This window comes from Homo sapiens, chromosome 11, assembly GCF_000001405.40.
Source record: "Homo sapiens chromosome 11, GRCh38.p14 Primary Assembly".
Classification (NCBI taxonomy): Eukaryota; Metazoa; Chordata; class Mammalia; order Primates; family Hominidae; genus Homo; species Homo sapiens.
Genome location: NC_000011.10, coordinates 68,925,314 through 68,950,517, shown reverse-complemented (window position 1 = coordinate 68,950,517; position 25,204 = coordinate 68,925,314). Strand labels below are relative to the sequence as shown.

Genomic DNA, 25,204 nt, shown 5'->3' with positions numbered 1-25,204 from the left:
AGGTTTTCCACCTCAGACACCTCCTCAAGGCAGCCACCAGAGGGACTTTTCTAAGACACAAACTGGGCCAATTTCCCTCTCCTCACTGCCCAACTCTGGCTCACCCCAGCCCACAGCCACCGAGACCACACAGGCCTGGGATGGAGAAAGAATGTGGAGGACCCCAGACCCACTGGAAATCTGGCCTTTCCTTGGCACTTGCTGAAAAATGGGAGCAGCTGCGACCCCATCAGCTGCCTAACTGGAAAACCAGCAGGAATTGTCCTGTTCTGATTATAGAACCAACATTCATCATTGGAGAAACTTTTTTTTTTTTTAGCTATAAACGAGAGACCAAGAATCACACCAAATCCCAAAGATCAGAGGTGTTTACAATGGCCATATGCCTTTGTATCTTTTCTTTTTCTTTTTTTAATTTTAGAGCCAAGGTCTCACTATGTTTACCCAGGCTGGCCTGGGACTCCTGGGCTCAAGCGATCCTCCTGCCTTGGCTTCCTGAGTAGCTCGGACTACAGGTGTGCGCCACCACACCCAGCTCCATCTTTTCTATGCATATATGTGTGTTTGGCGTACGTTGAGCATGCTGATTTTGTAGTTTTATATCCAACTTTTGTCATTAAGCACTAACATTAAATGATTATGTAATATAATGTGATTATAAAATGATTCTACTGGTTGTTTACAAAGTATCTGCAAAGGGCCAGGTGTGGTGACTCACGCCTGTAACCCCAACACTTTGGGAGGCTGAGGTGAGAGAATCACTTAGCCCAGCAGACCAGTCTGGGCAACAAAGACCCTATCTCTACTAAAAATTTTTTTAAAAAATTATCTGGGCATGGTGGCATGTGTCTGTAGTCCCAGCTACTCAGGAAGCTGAGGTGGGAGGATCTCTGGAGCCCAGGAGGTCGAGGCTACAATGAACCGTGATTGTGCCACTGCACTCCAGCCTGGCCAACAGAGCAAGACCCTGTCTCAAAAAACAAAGTCTCTGCAAAAGATAACTTAAATATTATAGAGCAACAGTCTCCAGCCTTTTTGGCACCAGAGACCGGTTTCGTGGAAGATAATTTCTCCATGGGCCAGGCCGTGGGGCGGCAGGGGGAATGATTTCAGGATGACCCAAGCGCATGACATTTATTGCACACTTTATTTCTATTATTGACATTGTAATATATAATAAAATAATTCTACAATTCACCATAATGTAGAATCAGTGGGAGCCCTGAGCTTCTTTCCCTGCAACTAGACAGTCCCATCTTAGGGTGATGGGAGACAGTGACAGATCATCAGGCATCAGAGTCTCATAAAGGAGCACGCAGCCTGGATCCCTCGCATGCGCAGTTCACAATAGGGTTCGCGCTCCTATGAGAATCTAACGCCGCCGCTGATCTGACGGGAGGCGGAGCTCGGGCGGTGACGCGAGCAGTGAGGAGTGGCTGTAAATACAGATGAAGCTTCACGGGTGCACCCACCACTCACCTCCTGCTGTGAGGCCCAGTTCCTAACAGGTCATGGACCCGTACCCCTGGGACCCCCTGATCTAGAGAAACATCCATGTAAAGTTAGCGGATTGAACACACACATCTACATAAGGCCACTAAATAAATTGATGCCACAGAATCACCTAAAGGCTCAGGAACTGGGGGCCTTGGGAGCCCAAGAAGTGGGGTGGGAAGGAGCTAAAATAAGGCGGGTGGATGGAAGTCTTTAAAAGAAGCAATCAGTCATGGAGACAGAAAATGAACAGAGATTCCAGGGGCTGGGGGGTTGGTATTTGATGGGGATGGAGTTTCCATGTGGGAAGATGAGAAAGTTCTGGAGACAGATGGTGGTGATGGTTGCACAATGCTGGGAATGTAAGGGATGCCGCTGAGTTGTACACTTGCTTACACAATGGTTAAAATGTTAAATTTCATGTTATAGATATTTTACAATTTTTATGAAAGCAGCAGCAATCAGATCTTCTAATCCCATCTGCTACTCAGAGAAGCCTCCTCCTCTACTCTGAGAAAAGACCAAATACCCGACTAGGCTCTGCAGTGGGTAAAACAGAATGAGTCTGCCTGAGGGTCCCAAGGCATAGCTGGGCGGGGGAACCCCGTACTGAGTGGAGGGTGAGTAAGCAGGTGTATGAACAGAGACTGTGATTGCAACCTGGCACATCCAGGGGGAAAGACTTCTGGTCCCTGGCTCAACGGCCGGGCAGCTGATGCCTCAGTGAAGCCCACAGTCAGCGAGCCCTCCGCACGGTCTTGGAGAGTCAGTCCCTGGCTGATAGGAGGGGACAACTACCAGAATCTGCAGAAAGCCACGATGCGAAAGGCAGACGGAAGCCATTTGTAATCGAAACACTGCAGGAAAAAGAAAGCAGCAAACAATACAAAACCACACCCACAGACAGAAAAGAGAAGACGCAGCCCCACAGGGAGAGCACTGCAAAAAGGGACATGAGGGAAGGGCTCTTCGATGCTGAAAGGAAAATGGTGTGAATTTTTAAAACCTAAACAAAAATAAAATGGTTGGAAAATAAGGCTGAGGAACATCTCATTGTTTAAAAAAGGAAGAGATGGAGAGATAGAAAACAGGAAAAAAGATGTAAGAAGGCCAGAGGCAGTGGCGCACGCCTGTAATCCCAGCCCTTTGGAAGGCTGAGGCAGGTGGATCACTTGAACCCTGGAGGCTGAAGCTTCAGTGAGCTATAATCGCACCAGTGCACTCCAGCCTGGGTCACACACTGAGACCCTGACTCAAAAGCAGCGACGGCCTGGTGCGGTGGCTCACGCCTGTAATCCTAGCAGTTTGGGAGGCCGAGGCGGGTGGATCACTTGAGGTCAGGAGTTCGAAATTAGCCTGGCCACATGGCAAAAACCTGTCTCTACTAAAAGTATAAAAACATTAGCTGGGTGTGGTGGCGGGCACCTGTCATTCCAGGTGTAATTCCAGCTACTCGGGAGGCTGAGGCAGGAGAATCGCTTGAACCCAGGAGGCGGAGGTTGCAGTGAGCTGAGATTGCGACACTGCACTCCAGCCTGGGCAACAAGAGCAAAACTCCATCTCAAAAAACAGCAACAACAACAAACCCAGAAACTGATTCTCTCTCTTCAAGATAAAATCTCGAGGGGCGGCCCTGTCCTGCCACTTCCAGCTTCTGGGGGCTCCACGTTCCTTGGCCTGTGGCTGCACCACGCCAGCCTCTGCCTGTGTTTGCAGGCAGCCTCCTTCTCTTCTCACATGTCTCTTAGACGGACACCTGTCATTGGATTTAGGGACCATCCAGGTAACCCGGGATGATCTCCTCTCAAGAACCTTTACTTAATTACATCTGCGAAGACTCTTTTCCCAGATAAGGTCACATTCGCAGGTTTGGGGATTAGCATATGGATTTACCTGTGGGGAGGGAAGCGCTCAGTCCACTCCCCGGGGCAGACCAGGCACTGGATTCTGGAGGCGCTGCACTCACCTGCCTACTAAACATCCCAGGAGAAATGTGAGTGGTATTTGGAGTGTGGGGAGGGATCAAAGCTGGAGATAATCAGCACATGACTGGCACCTAGGGCTGCGAGGCTGGGGACTGACGCTCAAGTCCGGTGCCCAGAAGGCAGCCTGAGCCGGGGGCATGCGACTCACTGGGCGACTCTCAGGGTGGGTGCTGGGGAGCTAAGCAAACATGGGGTCTCAGCAGGGGACAAGGTCGGCCTGACCCTACCGCAGCCCCAGGGCCAAATTTCACCTCAGGGTCGGTGCCACCTTGAGACAAGCACCGGCCTCTCGAATCTCCATGTTCACTGTGCTCTGTCCAAATTCTTGAGCCACAGAACCCATGAATGTGATAAATGGCTGTTTTGGGTAGATGTGTTATGCAGCCATAGTAACTGGAACAGCTTTTTTTTTTTTTCCTCTGATGAATCAGAAAGCCTGCCTTACCATCTAGTTTCATAGTGAGAGCCTGGCTCAGATCCCACTTCGTAACTGGCCGTTTTTGTTCCTTTGGCCCACAGGAAAAAAGGCTCCAGGCCGCCCCTGCTCCTGACCAGACGAGGACCCTAGCAGGTCCACAGCGTCCCCTCCTCGGCCAGCTGTTTCTTTTTCTTTCTTTTTTTTTTTTTGAGACAGAGTCTCGCTCTGTCGCCCAGGTTGGAGTGCAGTGGCGCGATCTGGGCTCACTGCAACCTCCGCCTCCCAGGTTCAAGCAATTCTCCTGCCTCAGCCTCCCGAGTAGCTGGGATTACAGGCATGTGCCACCATGCCCGGCTAATTTTGTATTTTTAGTAGAGACGGGGTTTCACCATGTTGGGCCAGGCTGGTCTCAAATTCCTGACCTCAGGTGATCCGCCCGTCTCGGCCTCCCAAAGTGCTGGGATTACAGATGTGAACCATCGCACCCAGCCAGCCCTGTTTCTCTCTGTGGTCTGGAACACGGGGGTGTTTATCTTGAGTGTGGCTATATGTTTTCAAAACTCTTTCCATTTTCGCTGAGTCAGAGACGGGTTGTGGGGGCCGTGCCTCTAAGTGTAAACTTGCAATGTCTCCATGACCAGAAGGCTGCCCTCATGATGGGGACGGGAGGAGCCTGTGGTATTAGCGTAAGGATGGACAGATGAATGGCACAGAATTGAGAACCCAGAAATGAACCCCTCCATTTATGCTCAAACAATATTTAACACGATGCCAAGGAAATTCCGTGAAGAAACAGGAGTCTTTCAACAATTGCTGAGACAACTGGAGATCCGCATGCAACAACCAACCAACCAAACCAACCAACCTTTGGCCCTTGCCTTATACCAATACCATACATGAAAATGAACTCAAGATGGATCACAGACCTGAACAGAAGAACTAAATCTGTACAATGTCTAAAAGAAAACATAGGAAAAACCTCTGTGATCTCAATTTAGGTAAAGAGATGTTAGACATGACACAGAAAGCACAGCCATAAAAGAAAAAAAATCGATAAACTGGACTTTAAAAAATTAAAACTTTTGCACTTCCAAAGACAATATTAAGGAAATGTTGAAAGAATCCAAAGACTGGGAGATAATATTTGCATATCATACATCTGATAAAAGACTTCTATCCAGGCTATATAAAGTTTTGTTTTGTTTTGTTTTGTTTTTTTGAGACAGGGTCTCCCTCTGTCGCCCAGGCTGGAGTGCAGTGGCATGATCTGGGCTCACTACAACCTCTGCCTCCCAGGTTCAAGCGATTCTCCTGCCTCAGCCTCCTGAGTAGCTGGGATTACAGGTGCACACCACCATGCCCCCGCTAATTTTTGTATATTTAGTAGAGATGGCCTTTCACCATGTTGGCCAGGATGGTCTTGATCTCTTGACCTCGTGATCCGCCTGCCTTGGCCTCCCAAAGTGCTGGGATTACAGGCATGAGCCACCATGCCCGGCCTAAAGATATCTTATATCTCAATAATAGGACACTTCAATTTATCTTAAAAATGAGCAAAAGATTTGAACAGAAATTTCACCAAAGGGCCAGGCACGGTAACTCACACCTATAATCCCAGAGCTGCCCAGAGGGATCCCAGAGTGGGCTGAAGGGCACCACGCTGCTTTGGGAGGTTTTAGGCCCACATTATAGCCCTGGCACTTAAAAGGAATTGTGGTCACTGCTGGGAGCTTAGCAAAAGCTATATTCCCAGTATTTTGGGAGGCTGAGGCAGGAGGATGGCTTAAGCCCAGGAGTTCAAGACCAACCCAGGCAAAAAAGCAAGACCCTGTCTCTATGAAAATAATAATAATAAAAGAGGCCAGGTGTGGTGGCTCACGCCCGTAATCCCAGCACTTTGGGAGGCCAAGGTGGGCAAATCACTTGAGCCCAGGAGTTTGAGATCAGCCTGGGCAACATGGCGAAACCCCATCTTTACAAAAAAAAAAAATAGCCAGGTGTGGTGGCACGCGTCTGTAGTCCCAGTTACTCGGGGATGCTGAGGTTGGAGGATCCCTTGAGCCTGGAGATCCCTTGAGCCCAGGAGGTCGAGATTGTAGTGAGCCCTGTTTGTGCCACTGCACTCCAGCCTGAGCTACAAACTAAGACCTGTCTCAAAAAAAAAAAAAGAAAAAAAAAAGAAAAATTTACCAAAGGAGATATCTACATGTCCCGTAAGCGCAGGAAAAGGGTGCTCAGCTTCCTTAGTCTTTAAGAAAATGCAAATTAAAACTACAATGAGATCATAGTATATACCCACCAACATGGTGGTAATAGTAATAATAATCAGACAATACCAAATGTTGGCAAGAACAGAAAAACTAGAACCCGCATACATAGCTGGCAGGAATGTAAAATGGTGTAACCTCTCTGGAAAAGCCTGGTAGTTTCTTAAATGAATAAACTAACTTATGACCCAGCAATTCCACTTCTAAGAATCTACCCAAGAAAAATGAGAATGCATGTTTTCACAGAAGGACTTGAACGATGAATATTCATAGCAGCCTCATGGGTCAAAACAGCCAAAAAGTGGAAGCAATCTGAATATCCGATAGATGAGTGGATACACTAAATGGGTGTATCCATACAATGGGACATTGTTTGACAATAAAAAGAACTGAAACACTGATACACACCACCACATGGGCAAACCTCAAAAACATCAGGTGAAGTAAAAGAACGCAGATGCACGGGGCTGGATACGGATGTTCCTCGACTTATGATGGGAATATGTTCCCCACAAATCCATGGGGAATTGAAAACATTGCAGATTGAAAATGCTTTCAATACACCTGACCTCCTGGGCATCGTAGCTTAGCCTAGCCTACCCTACACATGCTCAGAACGCTTACTGAGCACACTTATCTAACACAGAACCTATTTGATAATATAAAGTGTTGAATTTCTCATGTCATTTACTGAATACTGTACTGAACATGAACACAGAATGGTGGTTTCTACTGAATGCATACAAGCCTTTGCACCATTGTAAAGTCAAAAAATCGTTACGTCAAAACCACGGGGAGTTGGGGACAGTCTATATTTATATGAAGTTTCCAGAAAAGGCAAATTTATAGGGACAGAAAGCTGACTGGTGACTGCCTGGGGCTGAGGGCAGGAGCAGAGATTAACTGCAGACCAGCACCCAGCAGTAGGGACGGGTAGGGGTATGTGGCCCAGCCCCATGTTTACTAACATCATCGAATCTGAATCGTATATTTACAACGAGTGCATTCTATGGCATGACAATTACACCTCAATAAAGCTGCACAACAGAACAGCTCATTGGCAGCTGAGGGCTGGGGGAGATTGTGAGCTGCAGCTTCAGTGGAGAAGGCCAGAAGCCAAAACCAGAGCCAAGTGAGGTAGCAAAGTAATTCATATCCCTGGGTAATGAAGAACTGGCCCCAATCTGCCCACCCACACGAGAGCCTGCTTCCCCATTCTGCTTTTCCTGCAAGCAAAGAAGTTTCCAGACCAAATAAGGCTGCAGCTTTTGCTATGCTCCCAGTGGTGACCACAATTCCTTTTAAGTGCCAGGGCTATAACGTGGGCCTAAAACCTCCCAAAGCAGCGTGGTGCCCTTCAGCCCACTCTGGGATCCCTCTGGGCAGCTCCAAACAAACCAAGGTAAACAGAGCAGGCCTGCCCTAGGCCCGCCCTTGGCCCACCCTTGGCCTGCTCGGCACAGGGCGGGGGCGAGCTGTGTTGGGTGCAAGGAAGCCAGGCAGACCCACACTGGGGGACCTGCGACTTCCACCAGCAGCTGACCGGTGGGCCCTTGGGACCTGGGCACTCTTGCCTCTGTCTCTGGTAGGAAAGGCCATTTGCTGAAACCCTTCTATAGCGGCATGTGCCGTCTCGTTCCTCTCCACTGCTGCTTTGCAAGATGACGAGGAGGAGGGCAATACATTTATTAGAAGCCAGGCGCCGTACCCAAGGCCTTGTGTGTTTGATCATTTCATCTTCACAGCTACCCTGAGACAGGTCTTGTTACTTCCCCATGTTACAGAGGAGGAAACTGAGGCCCCAAGGCACGCAGCACATCCCAAGTAAACTCAGGAGCAAAGCCCAGAGCTGGCAGGGGCTCCTGCCTGTGCCCACTGCCCTGCCCGGCACCCCCGGAAAGGAGCACATGGCAGGGCTACCTCAGGGGAGCCGCACGGGTGGAGGTGGGCAGTTCTCCTTAGAAGGGAGTCCTCTACTCTCTTCCACCCGGTTCCGGCCCGGGTGGGCTACAGCCTGCAGCTACTGTCAGCAAGACCACACTCCAGCTGGCCAGGGAGACGTTTGGCTTGGGAAATTTTTTTCCTTTTCTTGGGTTACCCTATCCAGGCCAAACTGTAGGGTACTTTTCAAACAACCAGCTACAAATATTTTCCTAACAAGGCCTCTCTGGGATGAGAAATGGAAACTTTTTATGTTGCAACCTTGGGTTCTGGCATTTTAACAATGCATCACCAAGGGCCGCGGTGGTCAGTGCTGAAGGGGAGAAGGCTCCATGCAGGAGGCTGGGGGGCACAGCCAGGGAGACGACAAACCCGGAGCCAGGTCCCGCAAGGACATGATGCTGCACTTCATGTCTTCCACTTAGCACAGCTGGCGCGGCAGCAACTGTTCCCGTCCTGCTTCATAGATGACAAACAGGCTCAGAGAGGAGAGGTGACTTGCTGAGGCCACACCTCAGTGGACGGTGGTGCTGGCTGGCGTTCAGACTCAGGTCCCTCCGATTCCAGAAGCTTCCACCCCCCACCCGCCCGGCCCGCCGCTGATGCTGGCTGCCTTCCTCTACTTCAAGCTCCTCCTGGTGGGACGGCCCACAGAAGAACACCTGGATAAAGGTACAGGGCTTGGATTCCAATCGTGCCTTCTCTAATGAGTGGGGCGACACTAATTCCATACTGCCTCCATGCTGGGAGGGGTATGCCCAATAAGATAAACAGATGTGGGCATGACTGGGTCAGCAAAGATTCTTTGGCAGCAAGTGACAAAAACCCAAGGCAGACTTCTTCAGCTAAAAAAGGGGATTTACTAGCTCAGGACACCAGGAAGAATGGGGTGGAGGTCAGGCATGGCTACATCCAGGTGCTCAAACAGTGTCATCAGGTCACTCTCCCACCCCCATTTTTGGGTCTGTTTCTCTTTGGCCTCCTTCTCTCCTGCAGACAGGCTACCTAGGAGGCAGGGAGTGTGGCTGTCGGCTGTCTCCCACCCAAGAGCCAACATCTTTCAGCATCCGTGTCAACCCCAGGGCAGGACTCTTATCAGCTGTTTGGATTCTGGGAAGTTGGGGAGCTTAAGCAGGCACCCCCGCCCCCGCCCCTGCAGGAAGAACACCTGTCCCTGTGTGCTGTGTCAACCGGGAGATGCTTCCAATGGTGCCCTCATCCCCCAAGAGCATCATTACACAAATGCCTCCCACAGCCACGGGTCCTCAAAGAGCATGAGAACTGCAGCCTTCTGTGCATGGTGCTCAGCACTTATGGAAGCAACCAGATTAACTCTGCCGCACTTGACACAAAATGCAGTAGAGTCCTGGTCCCCTTCCCAAACAATTCAGTCCAAAAGCCACTTGACGGGAACAGACAAGGACAGGACAGGGGGAGGAGGAGGGGCTCTAGTGGCCCAGGGTGGGGCGTCAGTCCGGGTAGGAAGGGAGAGTCGCCCAGGACCAGCAAGAACACGGCAGTCAAAGCGTGCAGGCCTGGCCTGAGGACACATTAGCCGAATGCGCTGCGTAAATGGCCTCTGGGGGACAGCCACCCTAGGTGCAGGTCAGGGAAGCTCAACCTCACTCAGAACCATCGGGGACATAAAAGGACATGAATGGGATTTAAGGAGAGAGGAGCCTGCACCGGGAGAGTCTGCCGCAGAGAGGTCAGAAGGAGAGGGGGCTTGAGAGACGCGGCGGGGAGGGCACAGCAGCTGAGCAGAACAGGCAAAGGGCGCGCCCCTTAGACCCGCAGCAGACACACTGGGGCAGTGTGCAACGTTTTCATTTAATTTTTAAATAATTTATATCCCTCTGAAACAAAACCCTGAGGCTCAGGTACATCATCTGAGGTTCTCTTAAATAGAAGAGTTGGTACAGGACACCGGAGAAGGCCGGGAGGCTCTGGATCGGTAAGTGCTGAAGATGCTGAGGCTGTGGGGCAGCTTTCCCGGGACAACCACGTGGGAGAGCCGGCTCACCTGGTCCCCACGGTGAGGCGCAACAAGGAGGGGCTGGCACAGGCCAGGCACCTTTATAAGCCAGAGAGAGGTGCACAGGCCAGAAAGAGGTGCCCCCCAGACTCACAGGAGCCCCGTGGTGAGGAGGAGGGGGAACACTGCAGTCACCAGCAGACAGAAGGAAAGTGGCCCCAGCATCTGGCCACATGGGAACGTGCAAGCCAAACGCCACTCCCTGCTCCCTGCCTGAGCGCCATTCGCAGTCTTGTTTCCTGTTTCCTCTCAGCACCCTCATCCTAACGGGCTGAGCTGGCAAGTCCCAGACATTGGAGGAGTGACTTCAAGTTTGAGGCCCTGGGTATTCTCCAGGGACTGGAACCTTCCCCAGGATCCAGAGGCTGGGATGTGGGTTTTGGCGGGGAGTAAGGGGAAGGGACGTGCATTTCCCAAGCCCCACCTGCACGAGCACTGTTGTCCCCCAGGTGCTTTCCTCCACATTGTGACATCGGAAAAGCTTATCCCTGGGGTCCAAAAACCCAACCTTCCCCAACAGGGCCCTCCGCTCCTCCCCCATAGGCCCCTCCGCTCCTCTGTGGCCCTGGTGGAGGCGGAGCATGGTCTGCCAGCGCCCTGGGCTACCATGGAGAGAGCTCCGCGGGGCGTGCAAGGATGCGGCCGGTCACGTCCCCCTCTCCTTCCTCCGGCTGGTCCTCTGGTTGCTGAGCTCACTCAGCTTCTTATCCAGCCTCCTCTGCAGCTGGGCCCTCTTGGCTGGGTCCAGGGATCCGTTCTTGGTCCCGCTGCCGGCATAGAGGACCCCTTCCCGGCTGATTCTCTGCCGGGCATGGGCGCGAGCCCTCTCACCGCAGCCATGGATCTGGGGAGGACACAAGAATCACTGCTGGGCTCACAGGGGCAAGGAGGCAGATCCTGCAGCTCTGCCTATCAAAGAGCTGGGGGGCCACAGGCGCCCCAACAGAGAAGGCCACTCCTCCCGCCATGTCAGTCCTTCACCCTGCAGGCTGCCTGGCGGGAGAGCGGCGGGGTGGTCTGCACCCTGGTGTGGCGGGAGCCCCCGAGTGTGCACACAGGAAATGGCACCACCCTGACTGACCACACGGTCCCTGCGGCCACTTCCCACTGCCTCCCAGCCTCCGCCTACCTAATCCACACTGCAGCCAAGACTGGTGACATCACAGCCCTGCTGACACCCTAGAGGGTACCCCACTGCCTTCAGATCAGGCCTGACTCCTCCAGGCAGCTCGCCAGGACATGCCCAGCCTCAACTCTAGCCATCTGCCTCACACTCTACTCCCAACTCTCTGACTGGGCCTGGGGCTTTATGCATGTTCTAAGGGTGGATAGCCTGCCTGCCCACCCGCCATCGGCCCTGTCCTTCCCAGCCCAGCTCCCACCTTCTGTCCCACAGGTCTCAGCTCCAGTGTTACTTCCTCCAGGAAGCCCACCCTGACTGCTGCATCTGGGTGGGTGACCCTGCTGCCACCCTGGCCCTGGGTTTTCTTCCTCAGAGCACTCAACACCTGGTACTGTATGCTGGTCTCTTACCCAGGTCCCCCACCAGGCCCAGCATCCTCCAGGGTAGAGACAAGGCTGGTTCAGACCTCGGCTTTCCACAGGCGCCCACACCTGGCCCAGGGGGTTCTCATCAACCCCGGCTCAAGGAATGAATGACACAGCAGCCGGGCCATGGCCAGCTCAGATGACGGGCTGGAGGCTCTGCCTCCCACCTCCCCTATGCCAAACAGACCAGATTAGGCCACTGACAGAACCCAAGGACACTGGGACAAAATTCCCTCTGCCCAGAATTCCCACTAACGTGGCTGCAGCTCAGCAAATAAGGCATTTTGTTTGCTTGTGCCCTGATGTGCTGAAAACCGATCATGAGTCAGTGTCTGATTTCTGTTTCTGAAGGTATCTGGAGATTGTAAGGAGCTAACTGTTCCGACTGGAACAAGTCTGCCCAGGGTCTGCTTCCTGGAGACGGAACCCACCACCCCTCCCCACTGTTTGATCGCAGGAGGGGAGGCCGACATACCTCGGGCAGGTGGTGGCTGAGGCAGTAGCGGCGGCTGCAGAGCTGGCAGAACTGGCCCAGGGTTGTGACGCCGGCTGTGCACTTGGCAAAGCCGCAGGTGTTATCAGCCTTAACGGCGGCAGAAACCAGGGCCTCAAAGTCCTCCTCCGTGGGCAGATCTGTGGCCGGATGTCCTGGAGAAGACCCGCGTCACTCAGGCAAACGGAAAGACAACACCTGGCCCCTCATTTAAGGTTTTAAAATCAATTCATGGCTAAGCACGGTGGCTCACACCTGTAATCCCAGCATTTTGGGAGGCTGAGGTAGGAGGACTGCTTGCGGCCAGGAGTTCAAAACTAGCCTGGGCAACATAGTGACAGAGTGAGACCCCGTCTCTATTAATTCTAAAAAAAATTAAAAAGCAGCTCATGTGTCTTCCCTCTGCTACCCTGTCAGTGCCTGGGGGCAGGGGTGGCATCAGTCCTGTCCTCTAGCACAAAGCGTGGCATACAGTAGCTGCTCAACAAAGGTTTGGGGAGTGAATTCCTCTGGAGCCCCAGGCTCTGGGAGGCCCCTTTCAAAGCCACCCATGTGCTGGTGTAGCTTCGCTTCAGGAATTCAATGAATCAATGCAAGCTGGAACTCCTGCATGCTCTTGCTGAGGAAAATGGCAGTAGCAGGAGTTCCCCAAGACCGCTACACGCTCTGCCAGCGTATGCCTGGCCAACTCCCACTGCACGCCTAGCCAGCTCCTGCGGGGTGGGCACAATGCAGGATGTGGCAAACGGGGCAGAGCCCACCCAGGGACTCCACATGGCCCAAGGGCAAGAATGGTTTTGCGCTCAGCCAGCCCCTGTGGTTCTGAGCATTTTGCCCAGGACAACTTCCAGGCAGAGTGCACCCTTTCGCTGTGCAAGACCTCCACCCTCCAGGGCCACATGTTGCATGGGACCCCGTGATCGCTCCATTCCCGAGGGGCTCCAGGGAGCCATCCATGTTTGCTCTTCCAGGCCCCTCCTGCTGCTGCAGACATGCTCTGAGTGCTGCCTACTTGCCGAGTCCCACACAGGGTCTGGGAAAAGAAGGTGCCCGTGACCTGATCACCGACCTAGGGGAGCCCAGACGGAGCTGGGAGTGGCATGACTGAAAATAAAGCTAAAATGACACGGGCACGGTGCCACCAGGAGGAAGCCCTTCCTTCTGTTGATGGTGGCAGGTGGGCTCCAAGTGGGGCCAGCACCCCAGTGAGGGGACACTGCCCCAAGTTCTTATTAGTTGACTTACCTTTGGCTTTTTTCTTTTTCTTTTCTGGAAGTTTCTGCTGCCCTGAGGCCTGCTGCTCCTTGCTGGCGGGCTGCCCCTGCGCGCTCCTGACCCTCTGCAGTCTCTCCAGGTGCAGCGTCCTCAGATCAGGCTGGTCTGGGCCACGCTGCTCCCTGGGAGGCTGCTCTGTCTGCGCAGGGGTAGGGGGCACTGGCTGGAGAGGGGCTGGGCCACCGGTCCCTGCTGGGGGTCCCAGGGCTGCTCGGGGTCGCGGGGCCCTCTTGCTCACAGTGATGAACCTCCTCTTCCCTTCCCCGGAACTGTCGTGCCTCAGCCCGTGCTCCTCGGCTATTTGGTGGACCCGCAGCCTGTCGTGGGAATTGAGGGAAGGAGGAAACTCCAACTGCATCTTCTTGCTGGCCATGAACTCCACTATCATGGCCCGGAAGTGGTCCACGCCATCTTGGCTCTCCACTCCCTCTGGGCTGCCTCCGTTGAGGCTGGGCTGAGATGGAGCTTCAGAGGCCAGAGACTTCCCAGCCGGCTTCTTCCGGCCCTGTCTGGCAGGTGCTGCAGCCTCCTGGCCTCCCTCCTGCCGCTGGCTTCCGGTCCTGGTGGACGTAGCAGGTCCCTGGGGCTTGGTGGCAGCGTGGCTGGAACCCTGGGAGTTCTCATGGGAATAGTTTTCTGGGACAATATCGTCAAGATACTCAAAGGCCGTGCGTACTTCCCCATGCTGTGTGAAATACTCCACCAGGGTCTTCAAAAATGCATGGTTGTTGACAGTACGGGAGTCACAGATGACCGCCACGTGGCGTCGGGCACGGGTGACAGCCACGTTGATCCTCCGGTCCTCAGCAAGAAAACCAACTTCACCTACAAAAGGCCAGAGGGGAGTGAGAAGCAGGTTTCAGACTAAGAAACACAGTCAGGCTCCTACGCCCTTATCAGTAACCACCACCAAAAGTGTAGTCCCCTGCGCGTGGCCCACCATCCACACGGGTGCCCGGCCACGCGTGGCACCGTGATGCCACACCTGCCCTGGCATCTGGCTGCCACGGCTGACTGAGTGGGGCTCTGGGGAACCCGACTGGGTTCTGTCGCTCCTTTCCTTCTAAGCCCAGCCTCAGGGGCCGCCTGGGGTGTGGCTGCAGCTGGCACCAGGGAGAAAGCACAAGAAACCTTCCAGGACCTTCCCTTCTTTCCCCCATAGCTTCTAGCCAGGCCTCACCTGCTTTCTGCCTTCTGAGAATGTCTCACAAAGCCCGTTCACTAAACCTGCTTCTGGGAACAATGCTCATCCCAAATGGGAAAGCCCACACACCACAGCAGCACAGAAACCACAGCCACGACCACCACACCCCGCGGCTCCGTGCATGGAGGCTAAAGGCCAGCTCTGGGCTGCAGGGGGCTTCACCTCCTCGGCAGGATGTCCTGATCATTCCCAGCCCACCCTGCGCCCCCAGCTGCCACCCCAGCCACCTGCTCCCTGACAGCACACTCACGCCTCTGAGCCTCTGCAGACTCTCTTGCCTGTGCTTTGCCTGACGTGAACTTACTAAGGACAGAAGGTGCACCATGAGCACACTGCCAGAAACCAGTGTGGCACCCAGCAGACACCCAATATGCCCCTCAATCAATAAATTCACTTCTGTGCTGTCCCCAAAGGACTCTGGCGAGGGCTCCGTACCTTTCCTGTTGGATCTGACGAAGGACAGTATCACGGCCTCCTTCTCTCGGCCTTGGAAGCCATCGACAGACTTGATTTCAAGCTCAGGGTGCCTGTGCACAAGGCTCTGTCTGAGCAGGTCCACCTGAAACACCAGCCGGGCTGTGGTTTCCTCACCCACCCATGCCAGCGCAGCAAGACCCTGCCCTTCAGCTCAGCAGAGGGCCTCACGCTGTGAAACAGCCAGGACCTGGGAAGCGGAGCCTGCAGGAGCCCCATGGGGAAAGGCTTCCCGTTCGCCCTCCTCACGGGCACGCATGCACGCCAATACCACACCCTGTCCCTGGCATTTGATCATTTCTTTTGGCTTATGACAGCCGCCAGCCTCAGACAGCCCTATGTGTGATGCCTGCACACCAGGAAGGTATGATGGCCACTTCCACAGATCCTCCCGATACTCCAGAAGGTACATTTTTCCTACCAAATGAGATACGCATGGGAACACGACCTGAGCCAGACCAGCAAGGCTCAAGGCTGAGACTCCTGTGGGAAATGCCAGAAAAGGACAGGCTGTTCCGCCAGGGCTGCCCGTGGAAGGACTGTGTCAGCCTGAGGCTGCCGGGGTCACCCAGCAAATCTGGCCAGAACACAAGCCAGTGCAGAAGGCTGGGGCACCGGGCAGGGCGGGGCAAGGTGGGGCGGGCAGACGAACACGCAGAGGGGCCCCTGACGACATCATTTGGGCCCTGGATCCAGTCACAATAAGGTCAGCCCTACCCCTGAACTTTTCGGTCACCACAGCCAACAAATCACCCTTTTTCTTTCACCCTCTAGGTTGTGTGAGCCCCAGCTGCTCTGTAGAGGGACAAAAGGAAACCCTCGTACCTGGAGGTTGTATGGCGAGACCACAGCAATGTCACGGGCTGGAACACCAGCGTCCACCAGAGCCTGGATGTGCAAACTGACGAGGCGGACTTCGCCTGGAGGGAAAGAAAGAACGGGTGAGCAGCACAAGGTCGCCCCAAGTGGGCATCCACCACCAACACGTGTTTCGGGCACGTTTCTGTCTATCATGGCCAGCTGATCCTCCACTCAGGTGGCTTCCTGGGAGCTAATCATCTGTGTCCCAGGGCCCCAGGACCAGCCATGCCCAGCTAACTTGAATTTCACATCAGCAATGAAGGCCTTTTGACTCCTATGGCCGTGCATCCTGTTCAACGTGGAACTGGGGAGATGGTGGTGTCAGCTGAGCAATGACAGTTCCCATCACCAGACCAGCCAGGCAGAGCTGGGCCACCATTCAGGAGAAGGCCGTAAAATGCTGCCAGGCCCATCTCACCCAGGAGCGGTCTGCTCACCCTGGAGAAAACGATGCTGCTCAGCCTCTTGCAGTGTGGGGCTCCGTTTTTTCACGGCCATCAACAACTGCTCTCAGCTCCTCCCGGAATTAGGCAATTAAAGTGCCTTTTATTTTTAAAGAGCTGGAGGTATGTTTAAACAAAAAAGCTGGCCATCTGCAAGCAAGCTCACCAGGGTTCCCTTTCGACTGTTCGTCCTCCTCCTCCAGCTCAAACAGCCCGCAGCCGGCGGTGTCCACCAAGAGCAGGGGCACACCCGTCTCTTCTGTGGCAGCCACACCTGGGAGGTCCCTGGCACACAGGCAGAGAGGGAGCACATCAGGGGGCCACAGTGCAGCACTGAGGCCCCACCCAACAGAACCGACCCCTCCCACGAGGAAAAGGCTTAGGTAGGGGAGGACAATGAGCACATCAGGACATCAGAAGGGAGGGAGCGGGCCTGACCCAGCTCTCCAGGGCAAGGCCACCCTCTCTTCCAAAAAGCTAGCCTCAGAGTCGACTTTCATGCAGAAAGCTTCACTTTAGCTTGCTGCGTAGAAACAGGTGACGCAGAGGATTAGCCAGGGCAGAAGGATGGGGCGGCGGGTGGTGCCGAGCTACTCACCTCAGGAGGTGCCTTGCCACGGAAGAGTGGGCTGTGAGCTGCCCAAGGTACATGGTGTCTGAGGCCCAGCGCATGATAGCCTGGTGCATGCGGTACTGCACCGTCAGTGTCCGCACCACCCTCGCGCCGTACTCCTCAGCCAGGCGTTCCATCAGGCTGAGTGACAGTCCTGCCAGCGCAGCCCTGCGCCCAGGAGGGAGAAAGGGGGAAGGCAGGCCTGAGCCCCAGAGTCCAGGTGTGAACCACAGCAAGTGAGGAGGACAGGCCCCAAACCTCAGGACCCAACTCTCCCCTGGATTCTGACCCAGAAGTAACCAAGGGGCGGGTTTGGCTGAATCACAGCCCCAAAGGCACCTACATCCAATCGCCAAGGCCCGTGAATGTTCCCTTACAGGACAACAGGGACGCTGCAGCTGAGATGAAGTTAAGGATCCTGGGATGGGGAGGCGACCCTGGATGACCCAGGTGATAACCCAAGGGTCTTATAAGGGGGCATGCGAGGGTCAGTCAGAGAAGGTCACCGAGGGGAGAGATTTGAAGACGTAACACGGCTGGCTTCATAGACAGAGGAAAGGGCAACAAGTCAAGCAGTGGCCTCTAGGAGCCGGAAAAGACCAGGAGATGGGTTTTCCCCTGGATCCTCCAGAAGAAGCAACCCCACCCACACCTTGATTTTAAGCCGGTGAGTCTGATTTTGGACATCTGACCCCCAGATTGTCGTTTCTGGAGGTCAGAAAATCTGTTGTTGTCAGCCACTAAGCTTGTGGTCATTTGTCACAGCCATAACAGGGAACGAACACACTCCAACATGCTCCAACTGTGAGCAGTCAAGTCCACTCCCACCAAGAACGGCTGCAGCGGCTGAGCACTGCCCAGGCGCCAGGCACTGCTGGGTGTGCCAGATGTGGATTAACTCCCTTCATCCTTATAACAACCTCATGAGGTGGCTACTGTTATGACTCCCATATTACATGTAAGAAGGGTGAGACAGAGGAGGCTGCCAGCCCACAGCTGCCCGGGTGAGCTGCAGAGCCAGGACCTGCCCGGGCCACCTGGTGCCAGAGCCCACCCTCTGCACCACTACGGCTCACCAACCCCACCAAAACCCTGGGGCAGTACCCAGCTCCACTTCAGAGACCTTCCCTCTGGAAACTTACCAGACCTCTGTGATTAACGTATTTTTAATTCCAACAAAATGAGGACAGGACGCGATGATCAGTACCAACTGCAAACCCAAAACACTCAGCGCAACGTCACCCAACGTCCTCCCCCAAAAACCATCCTACTCTCTGCAGGGAACGCCACCCAACGTCTTCCCCCGAAACCATTCTACTCTCTCCAGGGAATGCCACCCAACGTCTTCCCCCGAAACCATCCTACTCTCTCCAGGGAACGCCACCCAATGTTTTCCCCGAAACCATCCTACTGTCTCCAGGGAATGCCACCCAATGTTTTCCCCGAAACCATCCTACTCTCTCCAGGGAACACCACCCAACGTCTTCCCCCAAAACCATCCTACTCTCTCCAGGGAACGCCACCCAACGTCTTCCCCCAAAACCATCCTACTCTCTGCAGGGAACGCCACCCAACGTCTTCCCCCGAAACCATCCTACTCCCTCCTACACAACAGGGTCCCTGCTCAAGGGCACAGTTCCAAACTTCCTCCACCCAAAGGCTTTCCAGAGGATGAAGACCTCCTTTAAGGACATCTCGAGAACCTCTCCCTGGAAGAAGCCACTGAATAAGCGTCCTCCCACGCCTGTCCTCCCTGCTCCCAGGGAGGTTCTGATGGCAGTGGCTGCTGCCATCATGCCGGCTGCAGCAGGGAACCCTGGCTGTGGCTGCACACTCCATGAAGCCAGTGGGAGCCCCGCCCCTTCTGAGGTAGAGTGGCCGCTGCAGCCCAGACACAGGGTCACAGCTACAGACCCAGGCCTCCTGCTCCAGAAGGGCGGGGCTACAGCCGCCCAAACTGCAGCTGTGGATCTGCGTCTCCCGGTGCTCTTAGGGGAGCCGGGAACAGGTAGGATCTGCCTTTCCGCGTGCAGCTGCAGCCGCCAGATCTGTGGCTGCAGACCTGGGCTTCCTGCTCCACGAAGCAGGCAGGAGCCGGGAACAAGCAGGAGCCTGGCCTCTTCTGAGGTGGTGGGTCGGGAGCTCTTGGGTGCAGCTGTAGCTGCCCTCCCACTCTGCAGCCTGCACCCTCAGGCGCCCCAGGAAGGACAACCCCCACACCATCCCTGCAGGGTCATGGGTGTCTGCTTCCACTGCCTGGCCTCTCTCAGCTCCCAGCACCCACTCGGATCTCAGAGTGGGATTGGAGCCAAGCCCCAGGGCCATGAATGGCAGCGGGAGGCAGACAGAGTCCTGAGTGGAAGGGGACAGTGGAAGGCCAGGAAGGGCCTGAAGGCTGGCAGCTGGGCTGCCAGTCCTGTGGACCAGAGTGAGGACTCATGGTACCTATTCCAGGCCCGCCCATGGCCACCCATGGACCAATTGGCACATCCTTCCTTCCCTCTTGAGGTCCATAAAAGCCCTGGGCTCAGTCAGAGAAGGCGAGAGGACAGCCAGAGGACGGAGAGGGCAGAGAGGATCTATGCTCTCTGCTGAGAGCTTCAGAGACCTGCAGAGATGTCCAAGTGACTTGCCTGCAGAGAGGAGCCACCCTCTCCAGGGCCTCCTCTGCTGACAGCTGAACACTCGACGGATGACCTGCCTACAGAGAGGAGCTACCCACTACTCTGAGCTGTTCTAACACTAAATAAAACTGTTCTTCACCCTTCACTAATCTGCGTACCTCATTCTTCCTGGATGCAGGACAAGAACTGAGGCAAAGGTGCTGCGGCCGCAGAGGTTTCCAGCCAGAAAAATCAACACCCCAGAGATCCCGTAACATTTCCACTCTAGATCCCCATGTGTCTCCCACCAGGACGATCTTTCAGAGCACCTTTCCTCAGCACTCCTCTTTCTTCCACCATCTTTATTTCCAACATCTTCCTCCCAAAGCTCACTCTCAATTACTATTTTTGACACCTCTCTCTACATACCCGCCAACTCCTGGGCTGCCCACGCCCCTGTGATGAGATTCTACTCGACAGGATTTCTTGCACATCTTCTTCCGGTCCTCGGAAAACAACGAAAGTTCCGAGTTCATAGCTTCTACACACCCACAGTGAAACAGAGAAGTGTTTCAAAAGGCAACCGAAATCTGAAGAAATCAATCTTCCCCCGGTGGAAGTGAGGGCCAGGATGCAGGAGTCTCAGAAGTGTTTCATTCCTCAGGGACAACTTTCTGAACAGGGACTTGTCCAAGGACAGCCCACGTGCCAGGCCCTGTTCACAGGCCTCGTGTAAGGGCAGTCAAGGGATACCATGCAGAGGGTTCATCTGGAGAGAGGGCACGCCCGCCACACCCAGGCAGGAGTGGTCCAGGCAGAGGGGCCAGCGAGGCCTGTGTGGCTGAAGCAGTGAGTGCTGGGTAGTATGGGGAGAGGTGAGAGGGGGGCTGGGGGGGCGGGCAGCACTTTCTCCACCAAGACAGCCTGGGCCAGGCCACTGCATCAGGGCTCCAGTGTCTCCACCAGGACAGCCTGGGCCAGGCCACCGCATCAGGACTCCAGTGTCTCCACCAGGACAGCCTGGGCCAGGCCACTGCATCAGGGCTCCGGTGTCTCCGCACGGCAGAACCATGGTTTGCTGAGTCTCTGCCCAGTGCCCTCCATCCAGGGATGTGTCTACAGATTGAAGACTAAAGAACCCACATCCACCCAGAGGCCAGTTAGCCCAGCCCAAGGCTCTCACGGCACTCTACCATCAAACCTGCCTGGTTCATGAGGGGATATTCAACTCAACAAGCAGGGACGGAACACCAGAAACGTGCCAGGCCCTGTGTCCAGTTCTGAAGCTACAAAGATGAAGGTGATGCGACCCCACCCTCGGGGAGTACATGATCTCACAGATGCGACGTTGAGATGAATGAATGCTGTAAGACGGGGTAGGAGCTGTGCCGAGAAACCGAGGAGGCACCGCAGGGGCTCCTGGTGAGCCTGGGGCTCCTGGCTGAGCGTGGAAGGACCGCAGGAGGGCGGGGGCAGAGAAGGGCATGTGAGGCAAAGGGGTCTTACTTGTGAGAGACTGTGGTGGGGGGCAGCTGCTTGTGATCGCCCGCCAGGATGCACTTTCTGGCCTTCAGCAGGGGGATCCAGCAGCTCGCCTCGAGGGCCTGGGCACACTCGTCAATGACCACCACGTCGAAGTAGCTCTCGGGCAGCAACTTCAGGGGGCCATCGGCAGACGCACCTGGTGGAAACAGGGAGCCGGGAGTCTCCAGGGGCACAGCTGCTTCCCAACAGCGCAGCCACACCAGAGGAGACACCATCAAGCTGGGGTTTCATCAAGGCTTGCATTGCAACTGTGTGGGATAAATTTGTATCTTGTAATAAAAACTTGGCCAAGACATTTTAAAACTCATGGTTCCAGCTCACCTGTGTCTTAAGCAGTGGGTACTCTGGCCACAGGCCCCTCTGATCTTCAATTGGCAAAATTAATCACCCCTTCGGGGCTGTGACCCCAAGCCCAAGGGATGCTGTCTGAGTTCTAAATATTGTAACTCAATTATTTTCTAAATTTAGAACCTAATTCTTTTCTAAGGTGACTTTCTTGGACATACAGAACAATCAACTGCTGGGCACTCACCCAGAAAAAAGCCTCCATGTATTTGGCAACACAAACCCACTGCAGCAGCTTTTCCTTCCTGGGACGCGGAGCAGCAGAGTGCAGCGTTCAGGCTGTGAGCAAGACTCAGGCCCCACGCTGTCTCCAGCCAACAGTGTGGGGCCTCAGGCGAGCCTCCCACCCCTAAGCCTGTTTCCTCACCCACAAACATGGACAATGACTGCATGTCATGAGATTGCACCACAAAGGGAGATAACATATATAAAGTGCCCAGCACGAGAAGGCAGGTTTCCATAAATGTGATCAATGTTAGTTCCCACCCTTTCTGCCTTCCATCTGAGTGAATTATGCTAATGATATGTACATAATGCCATGATGAAGACATACTGAGAAATTTCTCAAGATTGACTCTTCAGAGATGGCTAGAAAAAGCACCCACAGAGGAGACAGAACTTGGCTGGGCTTTGGATAATTAAGAGACATGTTTAGGTCACAGATGTGACTTCACAGTACAGAGAGAAACCAGACTTCATGATGGAGAAGCACTTCCAGGAACTCACTCTAGTTCCCCAACAACCAGCAGGGAACAGAAAGGCCACAAAGGCCACAAGCTGACCTTGTGGGGCTCAGGGGATGCCTCCTGATTTCCAGCAAGTGCTGTCCTTGAAGCCAGAGAAGGATGTCAGCAAAGAGACTCTCACAAGCTCTGAGAATTCTCTCCTCCACGAAAGCAACAAGACATCGGCAAATGGTCAGAATCAACTTTCTCAGAACTCTGGAAACTCGCCAAAGGCTGCAGCAATCAGGGAAGTGTTCATTCCAGAAAAGCATCTGAATCCCCGTCAGCACGGGAGCTCGGTGGCACTGAAACCTGCCCTATTCCCAGCCATCCCTATGGCAGCCTTGAAACCCTCAGCCTGAAGTCAGGGTGAAAACCAGCACCTGCCAGCCCCGGGGGGTGCAGAACAGGGTTGGCATTCCTGAAAAGCCCCACTCCAGAAACTGTGCTTATCTCATCTGTCTGGGAATCCTCTGGTAGACCACACTCAAAAGACTTTATCTGAGCTCATGTAATACAAACAGCCTTTTCCCTGGTGGTGTCTGTCAAAAACAATCAGAGGTAATTGTTGAACATCACAGTTTTCTAAGACAGAGAATAATGGTCGGAGCAAATGATAGGATAACCAAAGTTTTAAGCTGGGGAATGAGATATCCTCAGGGGGCTTTGAAAAGCTCCAACATATTCCTGGGAATCTAGAAGGCCACACACATGTACAGGGCTCAGGAAAGACCTCGGGAGGCCCTCAGCTCTCATCTGTGGCTCAGCTCAACGCACTGCACAAACGGGAAGTGAAAGCTGAGAGTCACAAACAGCCTGGCTCTGTGTTGGAGGTGTGCCCAAGCACACACACAGAGCCACTCAGCAAAGACTGGGGCATTTATGGCTCCAGGAGTTCAGGGGGATTTCTGTCTAATCACTAGCTGGCCACTAAGTTGTATTAGACTTTAGTGGCCACGCAAGACAAAAAATACAGATTTTACAGAATTAGTCCAGAAAAGTCACTAAACAAACAACAAGTGGCAACAACAACAAACCCCGGGGTGGGAAGAGAACCTGACTTCCAGAGTTGCTACATTCTATTATTTAAAATCATCCATTTTCAACAAAAAACTACAAGGCACGTAGAGAGTCAGGAAAATATGGCCAATATTCAGGGGAAAAAAGGCAATCAACAGATACTTGAGGCCAGGAGCAGTGGCTTACGCCTGTAATCCCAACACTTTGGGAGGCCAAGGTTGGTAGATCACCTGAGTCAGGAGTTCGACACCTGCCTGGCCAACATGGTGACCCCATCTCTACTAAAAATACAAAAATCAGCCAGGCGTGGTGGTGGACGCCTGTAATCCCAGCTACTCAGGAGGCTAAGGCAGGAGAATCGCTTGAACCTAGGAGACGGAGGTTGCAGCAGGCCGAGATCACGCTACGGCACTCCAGCCTGAGCAACAGAGTGAGACTCCATCTCCAAAAAATTAAATAAATAAATAAATAAACTGGATACTAGAGAAAGCCCAGATGCTGATCTTACTAGACAAAGACTTGAAATATCAGCGATTCTAAGTATGTTCAAACAGCAAAAGGGAAACAAGTCTAAAGAAATAAAATATGAGAATAATGTCTCACCAAATAAGAGAATATCAATAAAGAGACAGGAATAATTTTTTAAAAAGTACCACACAGAGGCTGGCATGGTGGTTCATGCCTGTAATCCCAGCACTTTGGGAGGCTGAGGCAGGCAGATCATGAGGTCAAGAGATAGAGACCATCCTGGCTAACATGGTAAAACCCAGTCTCTACTAAAAATACAAAAATTAGCTGGGCGTGGTGGCAGACGCCTGTAGACCCAGCTACTCGGGAGGCTGAGGCAGGAGAATTGCTTGAACCTGGGAGGCAGAGGTCGCGGTGGGCCGAGATCACACCACTGCACTCCAGTCTGGCGATAGAGCGAGACTCCATCTAAAAAAAAAAAAAAAAAAAAAAAAGCACCACACAGAAATTCTGGAGTTGAAAAGTACAATAACTGAAATTCACTAGAAGGATTCAACAGGAGAGAATGATCAGCAAACTTGAAGAGAGGTCCATTGAGAAGATCCAGCCTGAAGATCAGAAAGAAAAAAATGGAGGAAAATGAACAGAGCTTCAGAGATCTGTGGGGCATTATCAAGTGAATCAACTGATTCATAATGGGAGTTGTAGATGGAGACGAGAGTAGAATAAGGGCAGAAAGAATACCTGAAAAAATAATGGCTGAAAACTCCCCAAATTTGATGAAAAACACGAATCTAAACATCCAAGAAGGTCCACAAACTCCATGTAATTTACTCACAGAGATCCACACCTAACACATGATAATCACACACTCAAAAGACAAAAGACGACACTTGAAAGCAGCAATAGAGTAGCAACTTGTCACATATAAGGAGCCCTCAATGAGATCAATAGCTGCTTTCCCATCAGAAAGTATGCAGGCAATGGAATGACACGTCCAAAGGGCTGAAAGACTGTCAACCAAGAATTCTATACCCAGCAAGACTATCCTTCAAAAAATGAAGGAGAAACTAAGACATGCCCAGATAAAGATGAGCTTAGAGAATCTGTCACAGCAAACCTGCCCTTCAAGAAATACCAAAGGGAGTCCTTTGGAGAGAGTAACTCAAATCTACATGAAGAAATAAAGGCAACTACATGGGTAGATATAAAAGACCCCATAAATGTATTTTCTGCTTGTGACCCTTTTTTTCTCCTGTCTGATTTAAAACACAACTGGATAAAGCAATAACTACAAAGCCAATTAGAATCTAGCCAGGTGTGGTGGCTCACTCCTGTAATCCTAGCACTTTGGGAGGCCAAGGTGGGCACATCATTTGAGGTCAGAAGTTCGAGACCAGCCTGGCCAACATGGTGAAATCCAGTCTCTACAAAATATACAAAAAAA

The 25,204-nt window shown here is 53.2% G+C and overlaps 1 protein-coding gene across 7 annotated transcripts in view, besides 4 other annotated features; it reads right to left on the bottom strand.

The window, feature by feature from the left end:
• Positions 3,019-3,882: an enhancer, noted in NCBI's record as "H3K27ac-H3K4me1 hESC enhancer chr11:68714105-68714968 (GRCh37/hg19 assembly coordinates)". NCBI's record gives its function as "activates a minimal SCP1, AML or CMV promoter by ChIP-STARR-seq in naive and primed H9 embryonic stem cells {active_cell/tissue: H9 hESC(naive and primed)}" and the evidence as "EXISTENCE:reporter gene assay evidence [ECO:0000049][PMID:30033119]".
• The window catches only part of IGHMBP2 (immunoglobulin mu DNA binding protein 2), a 36,711-nt gene continuing 21,423 nt past the window's right edge, over positions 9,917-25,204 (bottom strand). For 2 of the 7 annotated variants that reach the window (NM_002180.3, XM_017017670.3), the window contains 8 exons: positions 21,161-21,335; positions 17,037-17,219; positions 16,605-16,723; positions 15,960-16,054; positions 15,096-15,219; positions 13,427-14,281; positions 12,164-12,336; positions 9,917-10,984 (listed from right to left, as the gene is read on the bottom strand). In NM_002180.3, coding sequence (NP_002171.2) covers positions 10,787-10,984; positions 12,164-12,336; positions 13,427-14,281; positions 15,096-15,219; positions 15,960-16,054; positions 16,605-16,723; positions 17,037-17,219; positions 21,161-21,335 — 1,922 coding nt within the window. In that variant the 3' untranslated portion in view covers positions 9,917-10,786. Of the gene's footprint in view, positions 10,985-11,691; positions 11,861-12,163; positions 12,337-13,426; positions 14,282-15,095; positions 15,220-15,959; positions 16,055-16,604; positions 16,724-17,036; positions 17,220-17,394; positions 21,337-25,204 lie in introns of those variants that run through there. The other 5 variants (XM_005273975.4, XM_011544994.2, XM_047426881.1 and 2 more) reach the window with 5 other exon arrangements.
• Positions 15,308-16,507: an enhancer, noted in NCBI's record as "CDK7 strongly-dependent group 2 enhancer chr11:68701479-68702678 (GRCh37/hg19 assembly coordinates)". NCBI's record gives its function as "activates an origin of replication core promoter dependent on BRD2, BRD4, P300/CBP, MED14 and CDK7 cofactors, with strong dependence on CDK7, by STARR-seq in HCT116 cells {active_cell/tissue: HCT116}" and the evidence as "EXISTENCE:reporter gene assay evidence [ECO:0000049][PMID:35650434]".
• Positions 22,754-22,803: an enhancer, noted in NCBI's record as "active region_5148". NCBI's record gives its function as "activates an Ori minimal core promoter by ATAC-STARR-seq in GM12878 lymphoblastoid cells {active_cell/tissue: GM12878}" and the evidence as "EXISTENCE:reporter gene assay evidence [ECO:0000049][PMID:35858748]".
• Positions 23,224-23,343: an enhancer, noted in NCBI's record as "active region_5147". NCBI's record gives its function as "activates an Ori minimal core promoter by ATAC-STARR-seq in GM12878 lymphoblastoid cells {active_cell/tissue: GM12878}" and the evidence as "EXISTENCE:reporter gene assay evidence [ECO:0000049][PMID:35858748]".